The sequence below is a fragment of the Homo sapiens genome, chromosome 2, assembly GCF_000001405.40.
Source record: "Homo sapiens chromosome 2, GRCh38.p14 Primary Assembly".
NCBI lineage: Eukaryota > Metazoa > Chordata > Mammalia > Primates > Hominidae > Homo > Homo sapiens.
Genome location: NC_000002.12, coordinates 219,595,810 through 219,617,701, shown reverse-complemented (window position 1 = coordinate 219,617,701; position 21,892 = coordinate 219,595,810). Strand labels below are relative to the sequence as shown.

At 52.6% G+C, this 21,892-nt stretch overlaps 1 protein-coding gene across 9 annotated transcripts, besides 4 other annotated features; it reads right to left on the bottom strand.

Moving 5' to 3' along the window:
* Positions 1–1,250: 1,250 nt before the first annotated feature.
* STK11IP (serine/threonine kinase 11 interacting protein) lies at positions 1,251–19,845 on the bottom strand. 9 transcript variants are annotated; one of them, XM_011510526.2, is made up of 25 exons: positions 19,779–19,845; positions 19,522–19,608; positions 16,262–16,467; positions 15,987–16,061; positions 15,619–15,714; positions 15,127–15,234; positions 14,926–14,997; positions 11,968–12,094; positions 11,643–11,746; positions 11,412–11,507; positions 11,185–11,226; positions 10,844–10,990; positions 10,565–10,649; positions 9,272–9,655; positions 8,914–9,119; positions 8,489–8,605; positions 8,162–8,339; positions 5,868–6,098; positions 5,644–5,747; positions 4,477–4,574; positions 3,772–3,950; positions 3,460–3,541; positions 3,156–3,226; positions 2,361–2,608; positions 1,251–1,995 (listed from the first exon to the last, which is right to left on the bottom strand). In XM_011510526.2, exons 2-25 carry the CDS (start codon positions 19,580–19,582, stop codon positions 1,912–1,914), a joined length of 3,201 nt encoding a protein of 1,066 aa, XP_011508828.1. In that variant the 5' UTR covers positions 19,583–19,608; positions 19,779–19,845; the 3' UTR covers positions 1,251–1,911. The 9 variants fall into 9 exon arrangements, 7 of the variants coding, with proteins under 7 accessions (XP_011508828.1, NP_443134.3, XP_011508830.1 ...); NM_052902.4 differs by having other exon boundaries at positions 1,251–1,658; XM_011510527.4 differs by having other exon boundaries at positions 1,665–1,883.
* Positions 8,936–9,435: an enhancer, noted in NCBI's record as "H3K4me1 hESC enhancer chr2:220472989-220473488 (GRCh37/hg19 assembly coordinates)". NCBI's record gives its function as "activates a minimal SCP1, AML or CMV promoter by ChIP-STARR-seq in primed H9 embryonic stem cells {active_cell/tissue: H9 hESC(primed)}" and the evidence as "EXISTENCE:reporter gene assay evidence [ECO:0000049][PMID:30033119]".
* Positions 11,441–12,640: an enhancer, noted in NCBI's record as "CDK7 strongly-dependent group 2 enhancer chr2:220469784-220470983 (GRCh37/hg19 assembly coordinates)". NCBI's record gives its function as "activates an origin of replication core promoter dependent on BRD2, BRD4, P300/CBP, MED14 and CDK7 cofactors, with strong dependence on CDK7, by STARR-seq in HCT116 cells {active_cell/tissue: HCT116}" and the evidence as "EXISTENCE:reporter gene assay evidence [ECO:0000049][PMID:35650434]".
* Positions 19,404–19,463: an enhancer, noted in NCBI's record as "active region_17156". NCBI's record gives its function as "activates an Ori minimal core promoter by ATAC-STARR-seq in GM12878 lymphoblastoid cells {active_cell/tissue: GM12878}" and the evidence as "EXISTENCE:reporter gene assay evidence [ECO:0000049][PMID:35858748]".
* Positions 19,674–19,893: an enhancer, noted in NCBI's record as "active region_17155". NCBI's record gives its function as "activates an Ori minimal core promoter by ATAC-STARR-seq in GM12878 lymphoblastoid cells {active_cell/tissue: GM12878}" and the evidence as "EXISTENCE:reporter gene assay evidence [ECO:0000049][PMID:35858748]".

The window sequence follows — 21,892 nt, the reverse complement described above, 5'->3', positions numbered from 1 at the left end:
CATTTTTTTCCTGTATACATTCTTTTAAATACATTTTAAATAATTTTAAATAAATGTAAAAGTACAGGATTTTCAATGACCCTTTTTCATTTTTAAAAAGTTCGCCCCATGGATTTAGAGATGTAGTGGGCTGGTTAGGCCAGGCAACCCTTCCCACATCCTTTCCAGGTAGAAGGCCCCAGTGACACAGCCCCAGTACTGCTGTTCCCACCAAGCAGTCGGGTCACAAAGTGGTCAAGGCCATAGACCTGACACAAAAAGTGAGCTGGATTAATCATTCTGCCTCACTTCAGAATCGGAACCAAGAACCAGAGCCTCTCTGCACAACTGTGTGGCTGTAATGATCTCCATTGTGTTCATTCTTGGGTACAAGAAACAGATCTCAGCCCAGCTCAAGTTGGAGTCGGGGTTTGTTTAGTTGGGACTCTTGGTGGCTCATACTTGCTTCGAATTAGCTTAAGCCATAGAAACAGGGAGGGGAGGGCTTCTTTTTTAGATCATGTTACCTAAAGTCACAGGGGTTTCTGTCTTCGGGCACAACTAGACCCAGGGGCTTCAAAGATATCCCCAGAGTCTGGCCCTGCTCTCTCCATCTGGGCCATCTTCCTCTCTCTCATGGTTCCACTTTAGGAAAGCGCCTCCCCACAGCCAGCAGCTCCAGGCTTATCCTCACAGCAACCCTGAGAGGAAACTTGCCTCCTTCTTGGTTGCTCTAGTCAAATGCCTGCGCTGGGGCTTCATAAGCCAAACGAATTCACATGAGGATTCCTGAACCAATCACTGGGGCCAGACTTGGAGACAAGAGGTGAGGGAGTGGGGCTGACCATCCAGGCCTCCAGGCTGAGTGAGGCGGTGCTGAGAAGGCAATGGCAGGAAGCACCAGAGGTCACCACTCAACTCCACACACCCTCTCCCCAGACACCCTCTGCGATGGCCTGAAGTCCTCACTACTTTCCATGTAAAGTTCAAGAGAGCAGGACCGTATCTGGCCCAGCTACTTGTTTGGCAGCAATTCCATGCCGGGCCACATGACAAGTCACTGCCAGCTTGGGGCTGTGTGCCTGTGGGTCAGGAGCTCTACTTGATCTCCCATGCTGGGACCACAGTTGGGTTGGAGATGGGGTCTCATGGCACAAACAAGGCTGCTTGGAGCTGCCCATTCAGGAAAGGTGATGGGTGGGATAGCTTCTGTCAGAAGAGGTTAGGGGAACTGCAGGCCTTATGAGTGACTCTAAGTACCACACATGACCTATGAGTTGGAAACAACTTTATTGATACCTGAGAAAAAGTGCAGGAAAAATATTCCTCCTGACCAGGTGGCCTGTCCCCTGAGGCCAGATCATTCTCTCGCCTCTCCCTTAAGCCCTGGGTCATTTGGGACCTCACTGGCCAGCACCCAGAGGCTGAAGACATCCACAGCCAGAGCCTGGAAGCCAGACCCAGAGACCAGGAGAGGGAATGTCTACAGCGTGGCTCCTGAGGTCAGGGCCAAGGTCAGCGTGGGACCCTCATCGGTCAAGGGCCAGCGCCTCTTGGATCACTGTCCGGAGTCCGATGGAAAACAGCTCCTCCCATGGTTCCCGGATCCAGGCAAGCAGGGCTGTCAGCTGCTCCTGACACACCACACGGAGTGCCCAAAAGCTCTCCAGCCGGGACACCTGGCAGACCGAGCAGTTAGCAAGGCGAGGCTCATGGGGACCACACCAGGGTGGGTACAAGGGAGGTCTCTGCGAAGGCCTCACTGTCTCCACCTTGGCTCAGTGCCTCTCCCCTTCCCCAGGCCCATGTCACTCCCCATAAAAGATCCTGACTCTGAGCTTTGTAAACAGAATCCAGCCGACGTTTACTGAAAGCCTCCAGAGGACCTGTCTTTTTCATCTTCCCTGTTGTACAGAAGATGCGGGCTCAATTTCAGGGAACTGTGGATTCAATTCCCGGCTCCACCACTTTGGACTGGGCAAACTGGTTAACATCCCCAAGCCTCAGCTTCCTCACCTGTAAATAGGACCAGTAACCGTATCTCCTCAGGTGGTGGTCACAAAGGCCAAACGGCTGGCATACAACCGGCCCAATCCTGCCAACTCAAAGCTGCCGGAAACCTCACTGAAAGCCTCGTGGCCCAGCTAAATGGCTGGGCTCCCAGTCCAGGTGTCTCCCCTGCCTACAGCTGCCTCCCTGACTTGATATTCATCCAAGCCTAGAGTCCCCCAGTTCCTCCAACCCTAGTTCTCTCATCTGTAAGTGCCATCCTGCCACCAATGCCCAGGGTTCCTAGACCCATTTCCCACCCTGCCCTCATGGCCCCAACCTGTGCTCACCATCTCCCCTCCCTCCCTCTCACTGGAGATACACATACACACCTCATCGTAGAAGAGCAGCCGCAAGTCCTCAGGGGCTGAGCGGTAGAGCAGCACGGAGCTCAGGCTGCTGAGTGGCTGCTGCTCCCTGACACGCACAGCAGGGCCCGGCCCCGAGGGAGGCACCTTCTCAGAGGCTTCGCCAGATGCTGCTGGAGGAGAGGGCTCTGCCGGGGACCCTGCAGCATCCTCATCTAACAGGAACAGGGTGGACGGAGTCAGCAACAGGGATACGAGGCAGGTGGAAGGGCCTGCAGGGAAAGAGGCATCCAGTGTGGAAGGTCATGGAGGGGCCCAGATCCCTGGGGCCAGCGTCCCAGTGCTGCTGGGGAGAAGAGGTGTGAACCACACTCTGAGGTGGGTCACAAAGCAGCCTGTGCCCCTGGGGCCAAGACCCTCCCTTTCCCAAGCTCCATGAATCTCTACTCTGGAATACCTCTGAGGCCTACCGCCCCCCACTGCCCCACACCCACCCTACTCAGAAACAAGGCTCCACCCTCTCCTTCTGTGACTGATGAGGCAGGGCCGACTCAGCCACGCTGCTCCACTTCATAGAAAGCCTGGGCCCGAGAGCAAAGGCTCTGGGTAACTGAGGATCCTGGGTGCCTCCTAACCCCACCCAGAGGGTCAGGGCACACTGAGGCTGTTACTCAGCTATGCCCTCAAGTGAGAGGTTCTCCAGGTTCCAGGAACTGACAGTTGCTGCAAGGGCACTGTACAGGTGCTGCGCGTGGGCCAGTGCCTGTGACAAGGTAGGGTACAGAGACCAGGGAAGCATCAGCTGCACAGAGGCTTCACCTTCAACCAGGAACGCCCGAAGGTAGAAGAACTGGCGAGCCTCCAAGGATGAGTCTTTTTCCAGCAATGGCCTAGAGGGAATATGGCAGGCACAGGAAGATCAGCTAGCGGGTGGGAAGGACTTGAAGAGAGGGGAGTGGGAAGAAAGCCCTGCAGGGGGTTGGGAGGAGACACTAGGGGCCCATAAGGGGCATGGCATGAGGACAGGTGGCTGCCCAGGACCTACTCAGCACAGGGCCATGTCTGGGGCTCTGTGGAAAGAGGATTGGGCAGCAACCCCAGCCTCTGCCTCCTATCGACTCACCAGAGCCGGTGCTGGGGGGTGACCTCCTCCTCTGTGGCACTGACACAGTTCCTCCAGGCAGGGGGCAGAGACTGCAAGACATCTAGACAGAGGCAGGCCAGGGAACTTTAGAAGGCTCTGCTCTCCTCCAGCCTAAACTCACCACCTCTCAATCCCTTCCTATTCTCCACATTTCTGGATTTCAGAAACTTCTACAAGGGACAAGTCCTGTTACCTCTCTGTCTCCGCTACTGGGTACCAGGTGGGGAGCCTGGCCCCAAGGCCCTGCCCACCCTCCTGCCCACCCTCCTGCCTTCCCCTCCCCTCTCTCACCAAGGAGCTCCTCTAGGAAGGCCCGGCAATGCCTGGCATCTCGGGGCAGCAGCACACAGCGGCCCGCCCCAGCTGCCCACTCTAGCCGCAGGCTCTGGCCTGCCAGGCCCAGCTCTATGCCACTCAGATCCTGCAGGGGAACAGCCAGGGTCAGCTGCAGCCAGCTAGCTGGAGGCTCACTGTGGAGAGAGGGGACAGAGCAATGGAGAAGCATGAGAGTGGAGTGAGAGTCCCAGAGAGGCCCTGCCCCAGCTGCACCTGCCTCACTCACTGCATCACCCCCGTGCGCTCACCACACCCCATCTTCCCCCTCATTCCATCTCCTCCCTCACTCACCCCATCTCCCCCTCACTCACCCCATCTCCCCCCTCACTCACCCCATCTCCGCCCCCCACTCACCCCATCTCCGCCCCCCACTCACCCCATCTCCCCCTTCACTCACCCCACGTCCCCCCCACTCACCCCACCTCCCCCCCACTCACCCCACCTCCCCCCTCACTCACCCCACCTCCCCCTCACTCACCCAATCTCCCCCTTCTCTCACCCCATCTCCCCCCTCACTCACCCCATCTCCCCCCTTAACACCCCATCTCCCCCCTCACTCACCCCATCTCCCCCCTCACCCCATCTTCCCCCTCACTCCCCCATCTCCCCCCAACTCACCCCATCTCCCCCCTTACTCACTGCATCTCCCCTCTCACTCACCGCATCTCCCCAGTCACCTTCAACAGGTACAGCCTGCGGTCAGACACAACCACAAGGCACATGAACTCCCCAGTGTGGCCTGCCAATGCCACTGGCACCTGGGGGAAGAGGAAGTTGGTGAGAAACCTGATGAGAGGCCTGGGGAGGTGGGGCCAGACTGAAAGCCGAGTTCCTGGTGACAGCACCCTCGGCCTGACCCTCCCACTGCCCACCCACCAGTCTATGGAGCTTCCCTCACACTCGACAGCCTCTTCATCCACCACCGCTCTCTGCCTTGCAGCCCCTGCCCGCTCAGAGCCTCAGCAGCTGGCTTCCCTGCCTGTCGCCTCACCCCCTCCACGCTCCGCCAGACTAACTATTCTAAGGCACAAAACTGACCATCACTGCCCCATTTCAAATCCTTCAGTGGCTCCCAGTGGCCCTCAGAAACAAGTCCAAACTCCTTGGCAGACACAGGAGGCAGCTCCTGACCTGGCCCCTGCCGGCCCCCCAGAGTCCTCTCAGGACCCCTGCCCCTCGCCCTGCATGTCCAGGTGCCCTCATCCTGGGCAGTTCTCCCCACCAGCGACACTCTCGGGCCTCCATGCATTTGCGGCTTCCTTTACCTAAGACATTCTTTTCCTCCCTACTCCTTAACTTACCCTTCAAGACTGAGCTTAGACATCACCTCCCAGGAAGGTTCCTTGACCCACTCAAGCTGGACTAGACACCCCTTCAAGGGCCTTAGCCCGATTACAGCATTTGCATATTGCATAATCATTGTCAGCTTCTCACACCAGACTGTAAGATCAAGGGCAAGATTGATCTGTAGATCCTCAATGTCTAGCACAACAGGTGCTCAACAAAGGCCTAACGACATCATGTGTTTATAATAATGCTAGGAGGCCCCATTGATGAGTGCCAGGTGCTGGGCTGGGCAGCTTCAACATGAGCCCTGACGCACGCCACTGTGTAAGGGAGGCATCGTTATCTCCATTGCAGACAGGCAACAACTGGGACTCAAATACCAGGGAATGTGTCCACGGCCACACAGCAAGAAGCTGCTGGGGTTGAAACCAGAAGCCAGATCAGGTCTCTAGAGTGCTTGATCTGACTCAGTTGGCTGTGATGGAAACGAGTGGGCACCCTGGACAGCTGGGGGCATGGGCAGTGTCAGGGAGCACAGACCTTGAGGCAGCACTGGAACTCCTCCTGGGCATCGCTGAACACCTCAACATCCAGGAAGAGCCGGAGTCGGTGGTCCACAGAGCGGAGGCCACAGCGCTCAGGGGCTGAGGGCAATGAGGGGGCATCAGCCTGCCCATGGCAGCCCCTGGGCTCCATCTCCACCTCCCCATCAGTGCCCCTTCCCTTCCCCAAACTCATCTATGTCTTGTTTTGCCTATACTCACGGGGACTGAGGCTCCAACTACCATGGTCACGGGTGCTCGGTGCCTGAGGTGGGCTGTTCTTGGCCCTGTCAAGGTGGTCACCATGGCCAGGAGGGTGGCAGACAGGGCTGGCAGACGGAGAAGGAGCCAGAGACTGCTCTCCCTGTTTCCGCTCCCTGTTGGGGGTTCCCCGAGACACAGCGAGGAGAACCACGTGGTCACTACCACAGTTAGGACACACAGCAGGAGATTCTGGAGGGAGGATGGACACGGTCCCCATGAGCCCCCCCCACAGTGCCACAACTCCCACCATGCTCACGATGCTCCTTCCCCATGCTCAGGTCTCCCCTGAGCCCAAGCCTCCAGCTTCATACACAACCACCGCGCCCCAGGCCACCAGCTCCCTCTCCCGGCACAGCTGCCAACTGATCACTCCCCACCCCAGGGAGGGATGAGCTAACCCTGGCCCACAAACTCCTCAAAGTGCACTCTACCTTCTAACTCTAGGCCCTCTCAGACTGGGCCAAACACAACCAGGACCTGCTCTTATGCCCTCTTACAGACTTGGGCTGATCAAGTACTTCAGGGCTCTCCTAGCAACGTCTGAAAGACCAAAATCAACAGGTCTGGAAAGGCAGAGAACTCTGTTGCCAAATTTCGGTCCAATTCCAGGCTCCATCAATTAATGGCTCTGTAATCATGGGCAAGTCATCTAAGCTCTGTGAGCCTGGTTCCTCGTCTATAAAACAGGGATGACAATAGCATCTATCTTATACTCATCCTTAGTGTCAGGAAGCTGGGAAGGAATCAGGACATGGATCAGCAATGAGAGAGGCAGCACTCTGAGCAGCTACACCGTGATGGGCATGCGCTACCTCCTATGCCACTATGATCGCATTTCATCACCAGAGAAACTCTCCCTATCCCATTTTGCAAAGAAGAAAGAAAATATTAAATCATTTACACATGCTGCCCAGGACCATACAGCTGGGGACAACGGCAGCAGCTACCATTTACAGGAGACCTTTGTGTTGTGCCAGGCCCTCTGCTTGGTGCCTTACTGTCACATTTAAATAGCGTAACAGCACCATGGGGTGAGTTCATTCCCTTCTTTGTTCAGAGGAGGTAACTGAGGTGCAAGTGAAAGGAGAATGGTTGGCCGGGCGTGGTGGCTCACGCCTGTAATCCCAGCACTTTGGGAGGCCAAGGTGGGCAGATCCGAGGTCAGGAGACAGACCATCCTGGCTAACACGGTGAAACCCCATCTCTACTAAAAATACAAAAAATTAGCTGGGTGTGGTGGTGGGCGCCTGTAGTCCCAGCTACTTGCGAGGCTGAGGCAGGAGAATGGCGTGAACCCGGAAGGCAGAGCTTGCAGTGAGCCAAGGTTGTGCCACTGCACTCCAGCCTGGGCAACAGAGCGAGACTCCGTCTCAAAAAAAAAAGAAAAAAAAAAATTAAAGGAGAACAGAGCCCACAGTAATGTTCATTAATAACGCCACCATGGAAGAGGCTCCAGAGACCACAGCACCTCATGGTGTACAGCCAGGGTCCGGGAGGGGCTGGGGGCTGTTTCTGTTTGCGCTGTGTCACTAAGGCTGCATGCCCAGGCCAGTTCACAGTGGGGAATGGAGCAGGGCTCCATTTTCTGAATAAAATCTAAACCCCTGCTCCAGCTGCCGCCAAGAAGAGAAAACCGTCTAATAAAATTCTGGCATTTCCACAGAGCTGTTATCAAGAATATTTATTTCTTCTTCAATGTCTTCTTCAAAGATAGTGCTGACTGGTCTACAATGGAAACAATTCTTGTTTTAAGGACTAGCGCATGAAGAAATGCCACAGGACATTATGTACCTTCCAAGGTCAGCCGGGAAGGATAAACCAAGCCAACTCCCCAAGCATCTCACTCAACAGCTACACTTGCTGGCAGAGGCAGCACCACAATCCAATACTGCAGTGAGGGCTCATTAGGTTTTATGTAGTGTCTGAAATATCAGCCAAAAAATCCCCAACACAACAAGCCTTCAAGTTATGAAAAAATAATGAGTATGTTTAAGCACAGTTACAGAGATTGCATTTCCTGACTTTTAGAGTTAAAAAAAAAAAAAAAACAGGATATAGTTTCTTCTTTTTTTCTGTTTTCCTTTTTGTAAATGCAGCAGGCAGACGGTTTTCTTTTTCCTCCAGGCAGAACAACTGCTCTCCACTCTAGCCCCTTCTCCCTAGGGCTCCCCCTTCACACTCCCCTACACAGAGCCACTTTCCCTGGAACAGGGGAGGCGTGTGGGCAGAGAGGTCAAGGGCAGGACTTGTACCTGTCTTTTGGAACAGAGGCCTCCAGCCTTCCTCACTGTCTAATCCCATCCTGGGCTCCTCTGGCTTGAACTCATGGCCACAGCGTAGACACTGGAATCTACCCAGCAGGAGGTCCCTGGCCTCCCCAAGCTGTTCCCGAGCCACATTGGTGACTGGGGTCAACACGGCAAGCAGCTCCTGACAGAGGGTGGATCAGAGGCAGCTGTGAGCAGGCGGACCCCAGACGGACACCTCCCACAGGCCCCCGGCCCTCAGGCCTGCTGCCACTTCCCTCTGGCTCTCTTAATCCCCACAGCCTCCTGGGCCCCCACTCTGGGCGCCATCACCTGGACAGCTGCGTGGGCATCAGGCTCCAGCACCAAATAGCGACGCAACTGCCGGTCAGGGCAGATGTAGGAGAAGCGCAGACTGAGGATGGGGGCTCCAGGGAGCAGATCTGAGCCCTGCGCAGCAAGAGGGGGACCGGGTGAAAAACAGCAGGGGCGGTGATCAGAGGGATGAGGGGATGCTGAGAGCATGGAGGATGGCAGGACCTCTGAAGCCTGTCAAAGGCCTGTACTGACGTCCAAGCTCCAGCACAGAATCCCTGCTCCTCAGCCCAGCTTCCCGAGTGCTTGCAACCTCTGAGGCTCCCCTCCTCGGCTCCTAGTGCCAAGGAGAGACTGAAAGAAATGCCCAGCCCAGTGCAGGGCACACAACAGCCATGTTCCCATAACTGGCTCCTCCAGAGACCCTGCCACGCCCCACTCACCGTGGGCCTGGGCGACCTCTGGGCCTGGGCCTCCGGCTCTATCTCAGCTGCCTCCAGACTCTGGAGCTCCAGTCGCTCCAAGGTGCGAGCTGCTTGGAGTTCCACCTCAAACAGGTGGGCAGAAGTGACCCTGAGAAAGCATTCCCTGCCCCGTACGCCCTCAGGCCCCTCCAGGGGACACACCAACAAGGGGCGACAGAGTTCCGCTGTGGAGAGACCAAGAGAAAAGGCCTGCAGGGAGGGAAAGTACCCACACTCTGCCCTCCCCCGAACTGGCCCTCCACCCGCCAGGCCCCACCACTCACAAACATCCCAAGGGCCCCTGGCCTCAGCTCGCCCCAGCCCACAAAGGGCTCACCTTCCACTTCCTTCTGGTCCTGCTCCTCTTCTTCCTCCTCTCCTGCCTCCTCTTCTCCCTGTTCCACCATCTCCCCCTCCTCCTTCTCCTCCTTCCCCTCCTTCTCCTCTTCCTCCTCCTGTGGCTCCGCCCTGACCTCCTCTGACATTTTCTGTGGTGACTCCTGGGGGCCTCTGGCTTCCTCCTGCGGGGGTGAAGGTCTGGGTGCAGTGTCGGGGCCCTGGGAGCTGGCTGGAGGTGCACTGGGTGCAGAAGTAGTGGGGGTGGCCGGCAGAGGGTTTCCGGAGGGCTCCAGGTGACTCCTGTACTGCAGCCAGTTGCGGCCGAACCGTTCCCGGAAGCTGCTCATGAGCTCCAGCTCCGGGTGCTGCTGCACGAACCATCCTAGGCAGGAGGGGAACCCAGAACTGAGCAAGCCTGCCCCACACAGATGGCCCCAAATCCTTCAACGGTGCTCCTCAGCGATGAGGGGGCGATGGGCTGTGTATGGGGACACGGGCAAGGGAGGCTACAGGCGTCCCCTCCGCGGCATGTACTAAAGCGTGTCCTATGGAACCCTGTGGTCACATGCAATCCAAGCTGCGCATCCTATGCTACTTCCAGAGACTCAGCATACATGATAGCATCCTGAAGGGCCCGAGACGGCCGGCAGCTGACACACCTATTTCTCTTCAACCTCACATTTCTCAAACTTCTCTGGCCACAATCCTATTATTTTATATATATACATATACACTTTCTTTTGTTTTGGGGTTTTTTACTTTTTTTTTTAAGAGATAAGGTCTTACTCTGTCACCAGGTTAGAGTGCAGTGGCATGATCATAGCTCACTGCAACCTTGAACTATCAGGCTCTGGCGATCCTCCTGCCTCAGCCTCCCAAGTAGCTAGGACTACAGGCGCACACCACCACGTCAGGCTAATTTAAAAATTTTTTTGTAGAAATGGACATCTCTCTATGTTGCCCAGGCTGGTCTCAAACTCCTGGGCTCAGGCAATCCTCCCACCTCAGCCTCCCAAAGTGCTGGGATTACAGATGTAAGCCACTGCACCTGGCCTACATGATCTCTTGACACCCCACAAAATTAATGTTCCTCGAAAAGTTTTCAAAATGCTCCCAGAAGCAGTCTTCTCCTTTCCCTAAACTAAAAGAAAAGAAAAAAGACTAAGAAGCCCTCTATAATACTCTACCCCAACAAAAAATAACATTTCTTCCAGCAGATCTTCACTGTAACTTAAAAATTAGAGTGAGCTCGCTGGGGACGAGAGAGGTTAGTGGGATGAAGCTGACTTACCAGCCGGAGAGGGGTTCAGAGTTCGGGGCTCCGGGTCCGTATCACTGGGTTCAGAGATGCTTGCCCGCCTCACACGGACTCGGCTCTGAGGTTGGTGGAGGGAAGAAGTTCTGTGAAAGCCAAGCCTCCAGCCCTGCCATCCACGGCTGGCCATCCAACCTATCAAAGAAACCTTGACCACGTGCAAGCACAGTTCCTACCATTCCCTGCCCACTGTAGCCCAGAGTCCCCGGAGAGACACCCAACCGCAGGCACAAGGCAGCGGAGGACGCTGCTTACCTTAACCTTATGAAGCAGGGGCTGGGTCACAACACCCCCTGAGGAGAGGCTGTCACTCAGGTCAGGGCCACCTGAGGTTTCAGGAGTACTCCCCACTGGCCAGGGCAAAGGTGGGCCCATGGGGCTGAGCCCCAAGGATGTGTGAGTCTGGCACGTGACGACAGGAAGGAGAGAGAGGTTGGAGCCTGGGAGCACCTCTGCCTTGCCCAAGCCAGCCAAAAGGCGGGACCCTACTTTCCACTGACCAGGAAGACCCTGTCACCAGCCAGCCCTCTGTTCTCTCCCCAGCGCCCTCCCTTCGTGTCTTCCCCCAACAGTCCTCGCCCCCCAACCACACCGACCTGAAAATCTGTCAGTGACAAGACCTTGCCATCGAGAAGGAACTGAGCAAAGACAAAAAGGGGGAGGGAGTATGTGGTAGGCCCATCCTGCTGAGCTCCAGGTATTAAGAACACAGTAAGCAGGGTCCAGGTCCTTGGCCCCTCACCCAGGGATGGCAAGAGGGTGCAAGGTGGGGGAGGACTGGGCAGGAAAGGGGAAGAAGAGTGGACACAGGACGATCACTCACGCCAGTAGCAGCATCCCTGGCCCGGGGTGACAAGTACTGGGCAGTGGCTGCTCGGTGCTCAGGGTGGAACCAAAGAGGGTTCCCCTCCAGGTAGAGCTGAGGGGCAGGAAGGGGAGAATGAGGAGGGCCTGGGGCCCTGGCCCTCCCTGTGTGAAGAAGGCACTGACCAAACCAGCATGGGGGGGTACGTGCAAGGGTGGTTCCCAGGCCCCTGATGCATTCCCATCTCACCTTGCGGAGCTCAGCCAGCAGCCACAGTGGTGACAGCTCCCGGTGTCCTTCCAGCAGGTTGTATGCCAAATCCAGGTGCCGCAGATTCCTCAGCTGCTCTAGGCCTGGGGTGGACGCAAGAAGGAAGGAAGAGCATGTGGATGAGTACACGCAAGTGAGTGTGGTGCATGCACTGGGGGAGGTTGCAGCAGAAAGACCGGCCAGAGCACCCCTGCACTCCCCATAAGCCCTCTCAAGGCTCTAGAGGCACATGGTCCCCAGGCCAGCCCCAGCCTCACTCTCCCCCTTCCCCTCCATGCTTGCCCCATCACACACCCCCACTCACCATGCAGGCTCCGAAGCTCATTGCCTCGCAGTATCAGGACCCCCAGAGCAGCCCCTGAGGGTCCCATTCTTGGCACCAAATGCAGGCGATTATAGGAGATGTCCAGATGGTGGAGCTCACACAAATCCTGGCAGGGGTACAGGGGAGAAAAAGATTATCTCGTTGACCAAACTCTAGCCAGGGTCCTCTGAGACCTCTTCTGGACTAGGCCTCAACCTTGGCCTATATAAAACTGCACACACTCAGCACAAATGATTTCATCCACCCCTACTCCCACGTTAAAAGACTTGAACAACACCAGCACTGTTCCTAACAGTTCAAGGCCACACCCTGAGCATGGCAACTCCAAGCCCCTTAAATTCCTGCCTGGGAAAAGTCAAAGCTGCCAAAAGAATTTCCCATTTGTTTCAGCCAACTCCTGAAGATAGGGCCCCGTCTCCCAGTCTCTGTGAAAGGGTAAGGGCCTTATTTTGGTAAGTGCCAGTTAGTTAGCAAACTCAGATGGGTTTCATGTGGACCAACCTGATTTCCACTCCCCCAGCTCTGCTCAAGGCCCTACCATTCCCCTGCCCACTCCCCGCCGCCCTCTTTTAAAATGCCCAGCCGGCCAGGTGCAGTGGCTCATGCCTGTAATCCCAGCACTCTGGGAGGCCAAAGAGGGGGGATCACTTGAGGCCAGGAGTTCGAGACTCACCTGGCCAACATTGTGAAACCCCGTCTCTACTAAAAATACAAAAATTAGCTGGGCGTGGTGGCACACACTTGTAATCCCAGCTACTTGGGAGGCTGAGGCAGGAGAATCGCTTGAACCCGGGAGGCAGAGGTTACGGTGAGCCAAGATCGTGCCATTGCACTCCAGCCTGGGCAACAAGAGCGAAACTCTGTCTCATTAAAAAAAAAAAAAGGAAAAAAGTCCACTGACACTTCTGTATCTTCCAGGCTCTGTTCAGGGAAATAACCGTGACTGCAACACTGTCTATGCTATCACCACAAACATTCAAACTACAAACGAAGAAATCCATCGGTTGCCACTGCTATCCTCATTCCACCATCTAAAGAAACATAGAGCTCAACACCTAGAAATCTCAACTGGCTGCCCTCTGGACTCAGAAAATGGATTTATAGTCTGCTCCAACCATTCATCTTTGTTTCCCTTTTTGTTTCCATAGAAATGTCCCCCATTAAATGCCTGGTCACTCTCACCATCCAGCAAAATTCATCCACTACCAAGTCCCAATAAATGGCTCAGTTGGTTTTTAGTGAACAAAAGGTGATCAAGGAAGAAAAGGATTTATATTGTTCAGGGGAAAGAGGAGTGTCTCTTCTTTCCCTGAATTAGAGGAGGTTCTCACCTTGATCAAACCCTACTCAGGCTCCTCTGGGCCTTCTTTTTGACTAGGCCTCAACTTTGGCCTGTTAAGAACTGCAGACTTGTTCAGCACAAGTTCAACAAAATTCAACACAAATTATTTTTGTTGACTCCTCCAACCCCCACAGTAAAAAACCTGAACAAAAACAGCAAAGTTCTAATATCTCAAGGATGCATCCCTAGAATGGTGACTCTAGCCCCCTTAAGCTCCTGCCTGGGAAAAGTCAAGGCTGCCAAAAGAATTTCCCATTTGTTCTAGCCAACACCTGATGACAGGGCTCCCATCTCCCAGTCTCTGTGGGAAGGTAGGAGCCTAACTTTTAGCAAACCCAGAAGGGCTTCATGTGAATCAACCTCCACTTCTGCTTTTCGTACATTTCCACTTCCCTTACTCTGCTCAAGCCCTCACAGTTCCCCTTCCTATTCCCTCACTCTCCTTTTAAAATGCCCAGCCACCTCTGCACAAATTGAAGTGGCGTTCAGTTCAGGTTGCACCCTCTTCCCCGCTGCAATAGTTTATCACTGATAAAAAATCTGTCCTTACTTGGTCGGGCACGGTGGCTCACACCTGTAATCCCAGCATTTTGGGAGGCTGAGGTGGGCGGATCATGAGGTCAGGAGTTCAAGACCAGCCTGGCTAAGATGGTGAAACCCCATCTCTACTAAAAAATACAAAAATTAGCTGGGCATGGTGGCGGGCACCTGTAATCCCAGCTACTCGGGAGACTGAGGCAGGAGAACTGCTTGAACCCAGGAGGTTGAGTTTGCAGTGAGCCAAGATCACACCACTGCACTCTAGCCTGGGTGACAGAGCAAGACTCTGCCTCAAAAAAAAAAAGAAAAAAAAAATCTGTCCTTACCACTTTAACTAGTTCGGCTTTATCTCTGACAGGTGGATGGGAGGACCCAGAAGAAAGGTTCTTCATCATAATCACAAAAGCTACCAGTTTCTGAGCTAGGCACTAGACTAAGCAACATTGGGTACTTCTTCACAATCATTTTAATACTATAAAAGCAGGTATTCAGCCGGGCGTGGTGGCTCATGCCTGTAATCCCAGCATTTTGGGAGGCCAAGGCAGGTGAATTGCTTGAGGTCAGCAGTTCAAGACCAGCCTGACCAACATGGTGAAACCCCATCTCTACTAAAAATACAAAAATTAGCCAGGTGTGTTGACACGTGCCTGTAATCCCAGCTACTTGGGAGGCTGAAGCAGGAGAATTGCTTGAACCTGGGAGGCAGAGGTTGCAGTGAGCTGAGATTGCGCCACTGCACTCCAGCCTGGGTGACAGAGCGAGACTCCATCTCAAAAAAAAAAAAAAAAAAAAAAACCAGGTACTCTTGTGATTTCTACTTTACAGGTAAAGAAACCAAGAGGTAACTAACTTGCTCAAAGTTGCACAGGTATTAGAAGTTGAGATATGAACTCTGGTTTGTCTGATGCTAGTGTCTAAGCAGTGCTATCTCCCAGAATGCAGCTCCACCCTCATGGCAAGAGCAAGGTGGGAGTAAAAGCTGGTCAAGGAGAGAGAGTGAGAGCAGAGCAATCAAAGACCCATGGTGTGCCAGCTGCCAAACTGCCCATACTCACCATCAGGAATCCCTGACAGTCCTGGACTTGATTGTGGCTTAGGTTCAAGAAACGCAGAGCTGACAAGAGGCGCTGAGAGAGACGGGGAGGAGGCAGAGAATCGATGTTCACTACAATACTATCTGGTCAACCAGCTGGCCCTCCTCCCCAAAGGCCTGGCCTTGCCCTTCCTCGAAACCCTCTTCCCTCTGAGGCACTCACCAGGGAGCTGTCTAAGGCGGTCAGTGCATTGTAGCTGAAGTTGGCAGAAAGCAGAGCCAGCCAAGGGAGGGCAGAGCAGAAGTCGCCGCCGCAGGCTGAGAGGAGCTCCTGAGCAGACAGATGGGTGCTTCATTACCCCACCCTCCCCTTCCTCCCTATGCCAAGGCCAAGCTCTACCACCCAGTCACTCATTCATTTTTTATACACTGAACTCCATCTGAAGATACAGGCTTAAAGCCCAGGTCCCTGACCCAAGAACTCACTGTAGGGACAGTGGGAAGGTAGACACTAGAATATGTAATATAATATGGTAGGTACGACTATAAATATACAGGCAGTTACAGAGTGCTGCGGGAACACAGAGAGGGAGTGAGGACACTGTCTAGAGGGAAGCAGGAGGCAGGGAGAGCTGCAGAGAGGGGAGAACATCAGAGCTTGGTCTTCTACATCTCTCAAGTTGAGGTGTCTGAGCTCACCCCTCACTCTCCTTACCTCTAATGCCTGGAGGCTCCTGCTGCAAATCAGGGTCTCCAGCTGGGAGTAGATGCCTCGGAGGCCATGCAGACAGTGGAGGGGAACACCTCGGAGCTGGGACAAGGAAAGAGGAGGGAGGAAGGCAGAACCCCACAGAAGACAAAGACCTCATCCCCATCCCCTAGTTGGGAGGAGGGAGAAGACCACAAAGCCCAGCTATGATTTAGGGAAGCAGTAAATGGAAAGACAGTGGATATCACATGACTGCAGAGCAATGGGTATACTCAGGCCTGGCCTCCTCACCAAAGAGGCTCTTCTCTTTCCCATCCCCAAGGGGCTGCCTCAAGTTGGGTGCTGTGCACCAACATCCCCCCGTGTCCCCATACCTCCAGGTGCCGAAGGGATTTGAAGGGGAAAATCTTGATGGGCCCTGTGGGGCCAGGACCAGCAACATGGACCAGCTGAAAAAAAAAAAAAAACTCAATTTACTGAGGCACAGCAGATCTTCCTGCCCTCAACATTCCTTCCTTAGCACAACCACTGGTACCTCTGACACCCTCTGGATCCTGGCACTGCAGACTTCTGCACCCCTACCCTATCCCCAACTTCCATCATTCTCTTGGGCTCCTTGCACATCCTGCCTCTTCCCCACACCCAGAACCTTGAGTGAAAGTGTTTTCTGCAGCACATCGAAGAGAAACTGAAGCTGAAGAATAACAGGGGAGTCGGCAGGATGGGAGGGCAGAGCCACAAAGCCTGTCTGGCCAGGGCCCCATGGCCCCAGGTGCAGCTCAAATACGTGGTTCAGCTGTTGCAGTGTGGGAGTCAGCAGGCTCAGGGTGCTACAGCCAGACAGGACCACATCCCCTGCAGAAAAAGGGGCAAACAGGAGGGAAGACACAGTGAAAAGATTTTTCTCTTTATTCTAAGGCTCTATGATGCCAAAATATACCCACTCCAATCCATATTGTAGATCTTCTATTGCAGGATCAAATTTTCTATCTCCTTCTCAGCTCAAAAGCATTCAATGGCTCCCCTCATCTTCAAAAAAAGTCCTAACATTTCATTCAGCCTGATGAGACTGCTTGGCTACACAACTCCAACCAACTCTTCCAAATTTTCTTTCACCTTCTGCTCAAAAGAGCCTCATCTACTGACAGTGCTGGAAATACAGCCAGCTTGGTTCACAGTTCTCTCTTGTTATGAGACACCCCCTTCCACCGCCCAGCTTGAGACCAGCCTCCTCCAGGAAGCCGCCTCAAGAAGTAATACTGCTGAATTTTCATATTGCAGTCACTCATTATTACACAAAAGTTAATTGGAAGTTTTATCTTTCTTTCTTTTTCTGATTGCAAAGCACATCTGTAGAAACTTTCAAACAATACTAAAAAGTATGTCATAGAATAACTATTCATTATAGCACTAAGGCATTGTTATTGCTGTCTGTTAAAACTGCTCTCTCTAATGAGACTTTCATCCTTGAGGGCATCTTTTGATCACTCTGGTATTCATCACTGCACCTAAAAAAGTGCAGCTACAAGCTAGGCATGAAGGAATGCTTTTTTGGCTTAAAAAATATAATAAGTATGGAGTCAAAGAATGCTGCAGAAATAATACAGAAAGGTCCCCTGTATCCTTTACCCAGTTTTCCCTAATGGTTACATTTTATATAGCTATAGTACAATATCAAAGTCAGGACACTGAGCTGGTTGCCGTGGCTCAGGCCTGTAATCCCAGCACTTTGGGAGCAAGGCACTTGAGGTCAGGAGTTCAGGACCAACCTGGCCAACATGGTGAAACCCCGTCTCCACTAAAAACACAAAAAATTATTCTACGACTCTAACCTCGTCTCTACTAAAAATACAAATATTCTCAGCTGGGCATTGCGACATGCGCCTGTAATCCCAGCTACTCGAGGGGCTGAGGCCAGAGAACAGCTGGAAGCCAGGAGGCAGAGGTTGCAGTGAGCCGAAATTGAGCCATTGCACTCCAGCCTGGGTGACAGAGGTAGACTCCATCTCAAAAAAAAAAAAAAAAAAAAACAAAAACAAAAAAAAAAACACAAAGGGCAGGCGTGGTGGCTCACGCCTGTAATCCCAGCACTTTGGGAGGCCAAGGCGGGTGGATCACGAGGTCCGGAGTTAAAGACCAGCCTGGCCAATATGGTGAAACCCCGTCTCTACTAAAAATACAAAAATTAGTAGGGCATGGTGGTGCATGCCTGTAGTCCCAGCTACTCGGGAGGCTGAGGCAGAAGAATCACTTCAACCTGGGAGGGAGGCAGGGGTTGCAGTGAGCCGAGATCATACCACTGCACTCCAGCCTGGGTGACAGAGCGAGACTCCATCTCAAAAAAAAAAAAAAATTCAGGACACTGATGTTGGTACAATATGTATATATAGCTATATGCTGTTTATATAAATTCCTGCAGCCACGCAATCAAGATACAAAACTATTCTGCTGCCACAAAGCTCTTCTCCTGCTACCTCCTTGTAGTCACACATTCACACACCCACCATTCATCACTGAATAAATTAACAAGTCCTACAACCTGACATGAAGGATTCTGTATGTACTAGACACTGAGGATAGATACAGACATGGTTCAAGGACTCTTCCCACGTTCAAAGGGCCTCCTAGTTGTCTCCTCCCAGAGAAGGATATAAGACATTTGCAAAGTTATCAATACAAGCCAGGAAATGAAACTGCTACTGGCCAGGTGCTGTGGCTCACGACTTTAATCCTAGCACTTTGGGAGGCCAAGGCAGGTTAATCACTTGAGGTCAGGAGTTCAAGACCAACCTGGCCAACATGGTGAAACCCCGTCTCTACTAAAAATACAAAAATTAGCCGGTCATGGTGGTGCACACCTGTAGTCCCAGCTACTCAGGAGGCTGAGGCAGGAGAATCACTTCGTCCCAGGAGGTGGAGGTTGCAGTGAGCTGAGATTGCGCCACTGCACTCCAGCCTGGGTGACACAGCAAGACTCTGTCTCAAAAAAAAGAAAAGAAAGAAAAGAAAACTGCTATAAAGAGAGCTTCCACAGATATCGTCAATAGGAGCATGGAGTGATGGAGGACAGCTAACATTAACTGTAGTATGTACCAGATGACTTTGGTATCTCATTCAAACCTTCTCAGAATCTCTCAAAGAGAAGCACTATTAACCCCATCTTACAGATATGAAAATTGAGGTTCAAAAAAGTGAAAAATCTTGATGGAGATCATATAATTGGTAGGAAGTTACTTCTCCTATCTGATCTCAAAGCCAAGGCTTTTTCTACCACAACTAATGCCAACCAAGTATTCAACAACTACTGTGGCTCCATTATGCCCAGGCACAGTGCCAAGCATCAGGGAAATCATTACAATAACAATAGCTCCCAACTGTAAGCAGTTACTATACTTGCAGGCATTGTACTAAATACATGAATTAAAACGAATCCCCACAAATGTTAAGTACAATCACTATGCCAATCTGTGAGGAAAACTGAGCCTCAGGAAACAGTATGGCAAGTTTGAAAGAGGGTTGATATTCCAACCCAAGTGGGTCCGACTCCAAATCTCGTGCTTCTATCTACTGTATTTAGTACCTTGCTACACAATAATGATTATGACCGAGATCAGTCCCTGGTCCTGAGGGGCTTTTAGTCAGGTAATGATCACTTCCTTCTGACAGTGTCAGAGAAGGCACGGAGGGAGGGATACCGCCCTTTGGCCTCAAAGGACGGCTAGAGTTTAGGCTATCACAGGCAAAGGACACTGTAAGGGCGAACAAACCTGGGAAAAGTAAAGAAATTGAACTCTGACACCTGGTGACCCTACCAGTCGTAACTCCATGACTCTCAGGGCGTGTCTCCAGAAAGCACCACCCCCACCTCGTCCGAGGTCCGAGGCCCAGCCCAACCGGAAGTCCACTCACCGGACTCCCGCAGCAACCCCGCGAGCTTCCACAACAGGGAGTCCCTCTGAGCGGTCGTCATGGCCACGGGACGCTGGGGGGCGGAGCCTGGGGGGGGAAAGAGGAAGCGGAAGAGCCTCAGGTGGGCGGTAGTGCCAAAAGCCCAGGGCGTCCGCGCAAACCGAGGCGTCATGCGGAGAAAAAGGCGAGAAAGAAAAGAGAGGAAGAGCATCCTCCTGGCCGCCCTTTCGAGGAACATAAGTCCTGGTCAGACATACCGAACCTCCCCGTCTGGTCCTCCTACCAGCTCAGCTGCCCGGCGCCTATCAATGATGGAAAGGAAGTCCCGCCCCGGAAGAAAATCGAGCCAAGGGACGACCGGAAAACATGTCTCTGCCGCCGGAAACCGCGCCGTAGATCATGCAAACGAATCGAAAAGGGGCGGTGCGGGGGCTGTCTCCTGACCGCGGTGGTGGCTGCAGTGGTTCCCTGGGCTTCCTGGCCCGGAGCTGGGCACCCATTATTCCCCCGCCCTGCGCAGCCTGGGGCTCCCGCTTGGCTTTCGGCGAGCCTACCGCGCCGGTGAGGAAACCCTGACTCGTTTGCAAACTGGGCGGGGAAGCAAAGTTTAGAGAAATGGAGCTTTGTTAGATAAAAATTTTTTCAACGCAAACAGTCATTTTCCAGTGAAAGGAGAGCGTATCCGCCGTAGGATGGACTTAGATCGTGTAAAAGCTGAGGCCACCGAGGATATAACCTCCGGGGTCCTTTGCCTCCTTTTCCTTAGACTCCCTCCAAACTCGTGTATCTTTCCTTCAGCAGTACTGGGCTCCACGCGAACCTAGTCCTTTGTCTTTACCCTATTACCTTTCATAACATCCTAGTTGAAAAGTAGTTATTCAACCGCGTTTGAAAATGAGAACAGGTTCACAGAGGCTAGGTTACTTGCGAAGGTCGTTCAATTAGTAACCAGTAGCGCCAGGACTGCCAGTTTCTTGCTTCCGAATTCTCATGGTAGCTTTCACCAGGCTCCCCGTCAAATGCTAACGTCAACTACTGAACTAGATTAGCAAAAAGGTCTTTTAACAGAATTCCTGGTTTTCAGAGAGAGTTTCTTTCATGAAGCGCCCCATTTCTACAGAGGAAAATCAAAATGAATCCTAAGCCAGTTGAAAGGAGGGATAGGATCATAGTCATCTTTATCCCAAGTTGCCAGATTTGAAAGATTTTATTTTCTCAAGACAAAATATTTGAAATGGCAAATATTTCAAATATTTTGAATATTTGAACCACACAATTTCGCATTCATGGCATACTACTTGTGCTCTGAGCTGAAAGCCTTTTAGGTTAAATAAAGTAAGTGGAGATACATCCGAAGCAGCAGTGTTGAGCTCAGAAAAACAATACCCCAAAATACGGCGCTTTGGTATGCTGACTATTTTGAACTAAAAGAGACTGGAAGGCCTCAGGCACAGTCTCTCCGACCTTTTCCTGCCCTCCTGTCTCCCAGCCTTCTTTCTTCCCCAAGGCAAGCCATAGAAACCAGAATTCCTCTTCCCCAAGATGAGTCACAGAAACTAGAAGCCCTCTCCCCCAAAGCCAGCCATAAAACCTAAACTTCCCCCCACCTTTCTATGTAAGAGCTGGCCGTGGCCTGGCGCGGTGGCTCACGCCTGTAATCCCAGCACTTTGGGAGGCCGAGGCCAGCAGATCACCAGAGGTCGGGAGTTCGAGACCAGCCCAACCAACATGGAGAAACCCTGTGTCTTCTAAAAATACAAAATTAGCCGGGCATGGTAGTGCATGCCTGTAATCCCAGCTATTCGGGAGGCTGAGGCAGGAGAATCGCTTGAACCCGGGAGACAGAGGTTGCTGTGAGCCGAGATCACGCCATTGCACTCCAGCCTGGGCAACAGGAGGGAAACTCAGTCCAAAAAACAAGCTGGCCGTAAAGAACTTCTCTGGCCTACCTTGTCTGATAGGCCGTAAGACCCTCATTCTGGAAGAGATCCTGCCTCATACCTGGGAGGAAGGAATGCTACACAGAAAGACCTCGTTGGGTTTCCACCTGCTGTCTGTTACTATTAAGTGGCACACTTTTTGCCCAACCACATTACTGCAGGCTGTCCATTTTTCATAGAATCTAAGCATTAAAAACAAGTTTTCCCTGGCTCTTTGGGTAGCCATTTCTGAAGGCTCCCATGTCATGTAAAACTTTGATTAAATAAACTTCTTAGTTTATTTTAGATTTTTCTCTTAACCTATCTTGTTATACGAGCTCTGACCCTTATGATGAGGAAGAAAGGCATCACAACTTTTCAGCCCCTACAACAGCTAACTAGTATGCAAATATAAAGTCAGAGTAAGAGCTCAGTATATTTTGTTGAATTAT

Excerpts from the sequence above, each read along its gene's own strand:
- STK11IP (NM_052902.4), bottom strand. The coding sequence starts at position 19,582 with ATGACGACCGCTCAGAGGGACTCCCTGTTGTGGAAGCTCGCGGGGTTG. Across the intron at positions 11,747-11,967 it reads TGAGCTTCGGAGCCTGCATG|GCCTAGAGCAGCTGAGGAAT; the intron begins GTGAGTGGGGGT and ends CGTCCACCCCAG. Across the intron at positions 1,659-2,360 it reads GGCTGCTCTTCTACGATGAG|GTGTCCCGGCTGGAGAGCTT; the intron begins GTGTGTATGTGT and ends TCGGTCTGCCAG.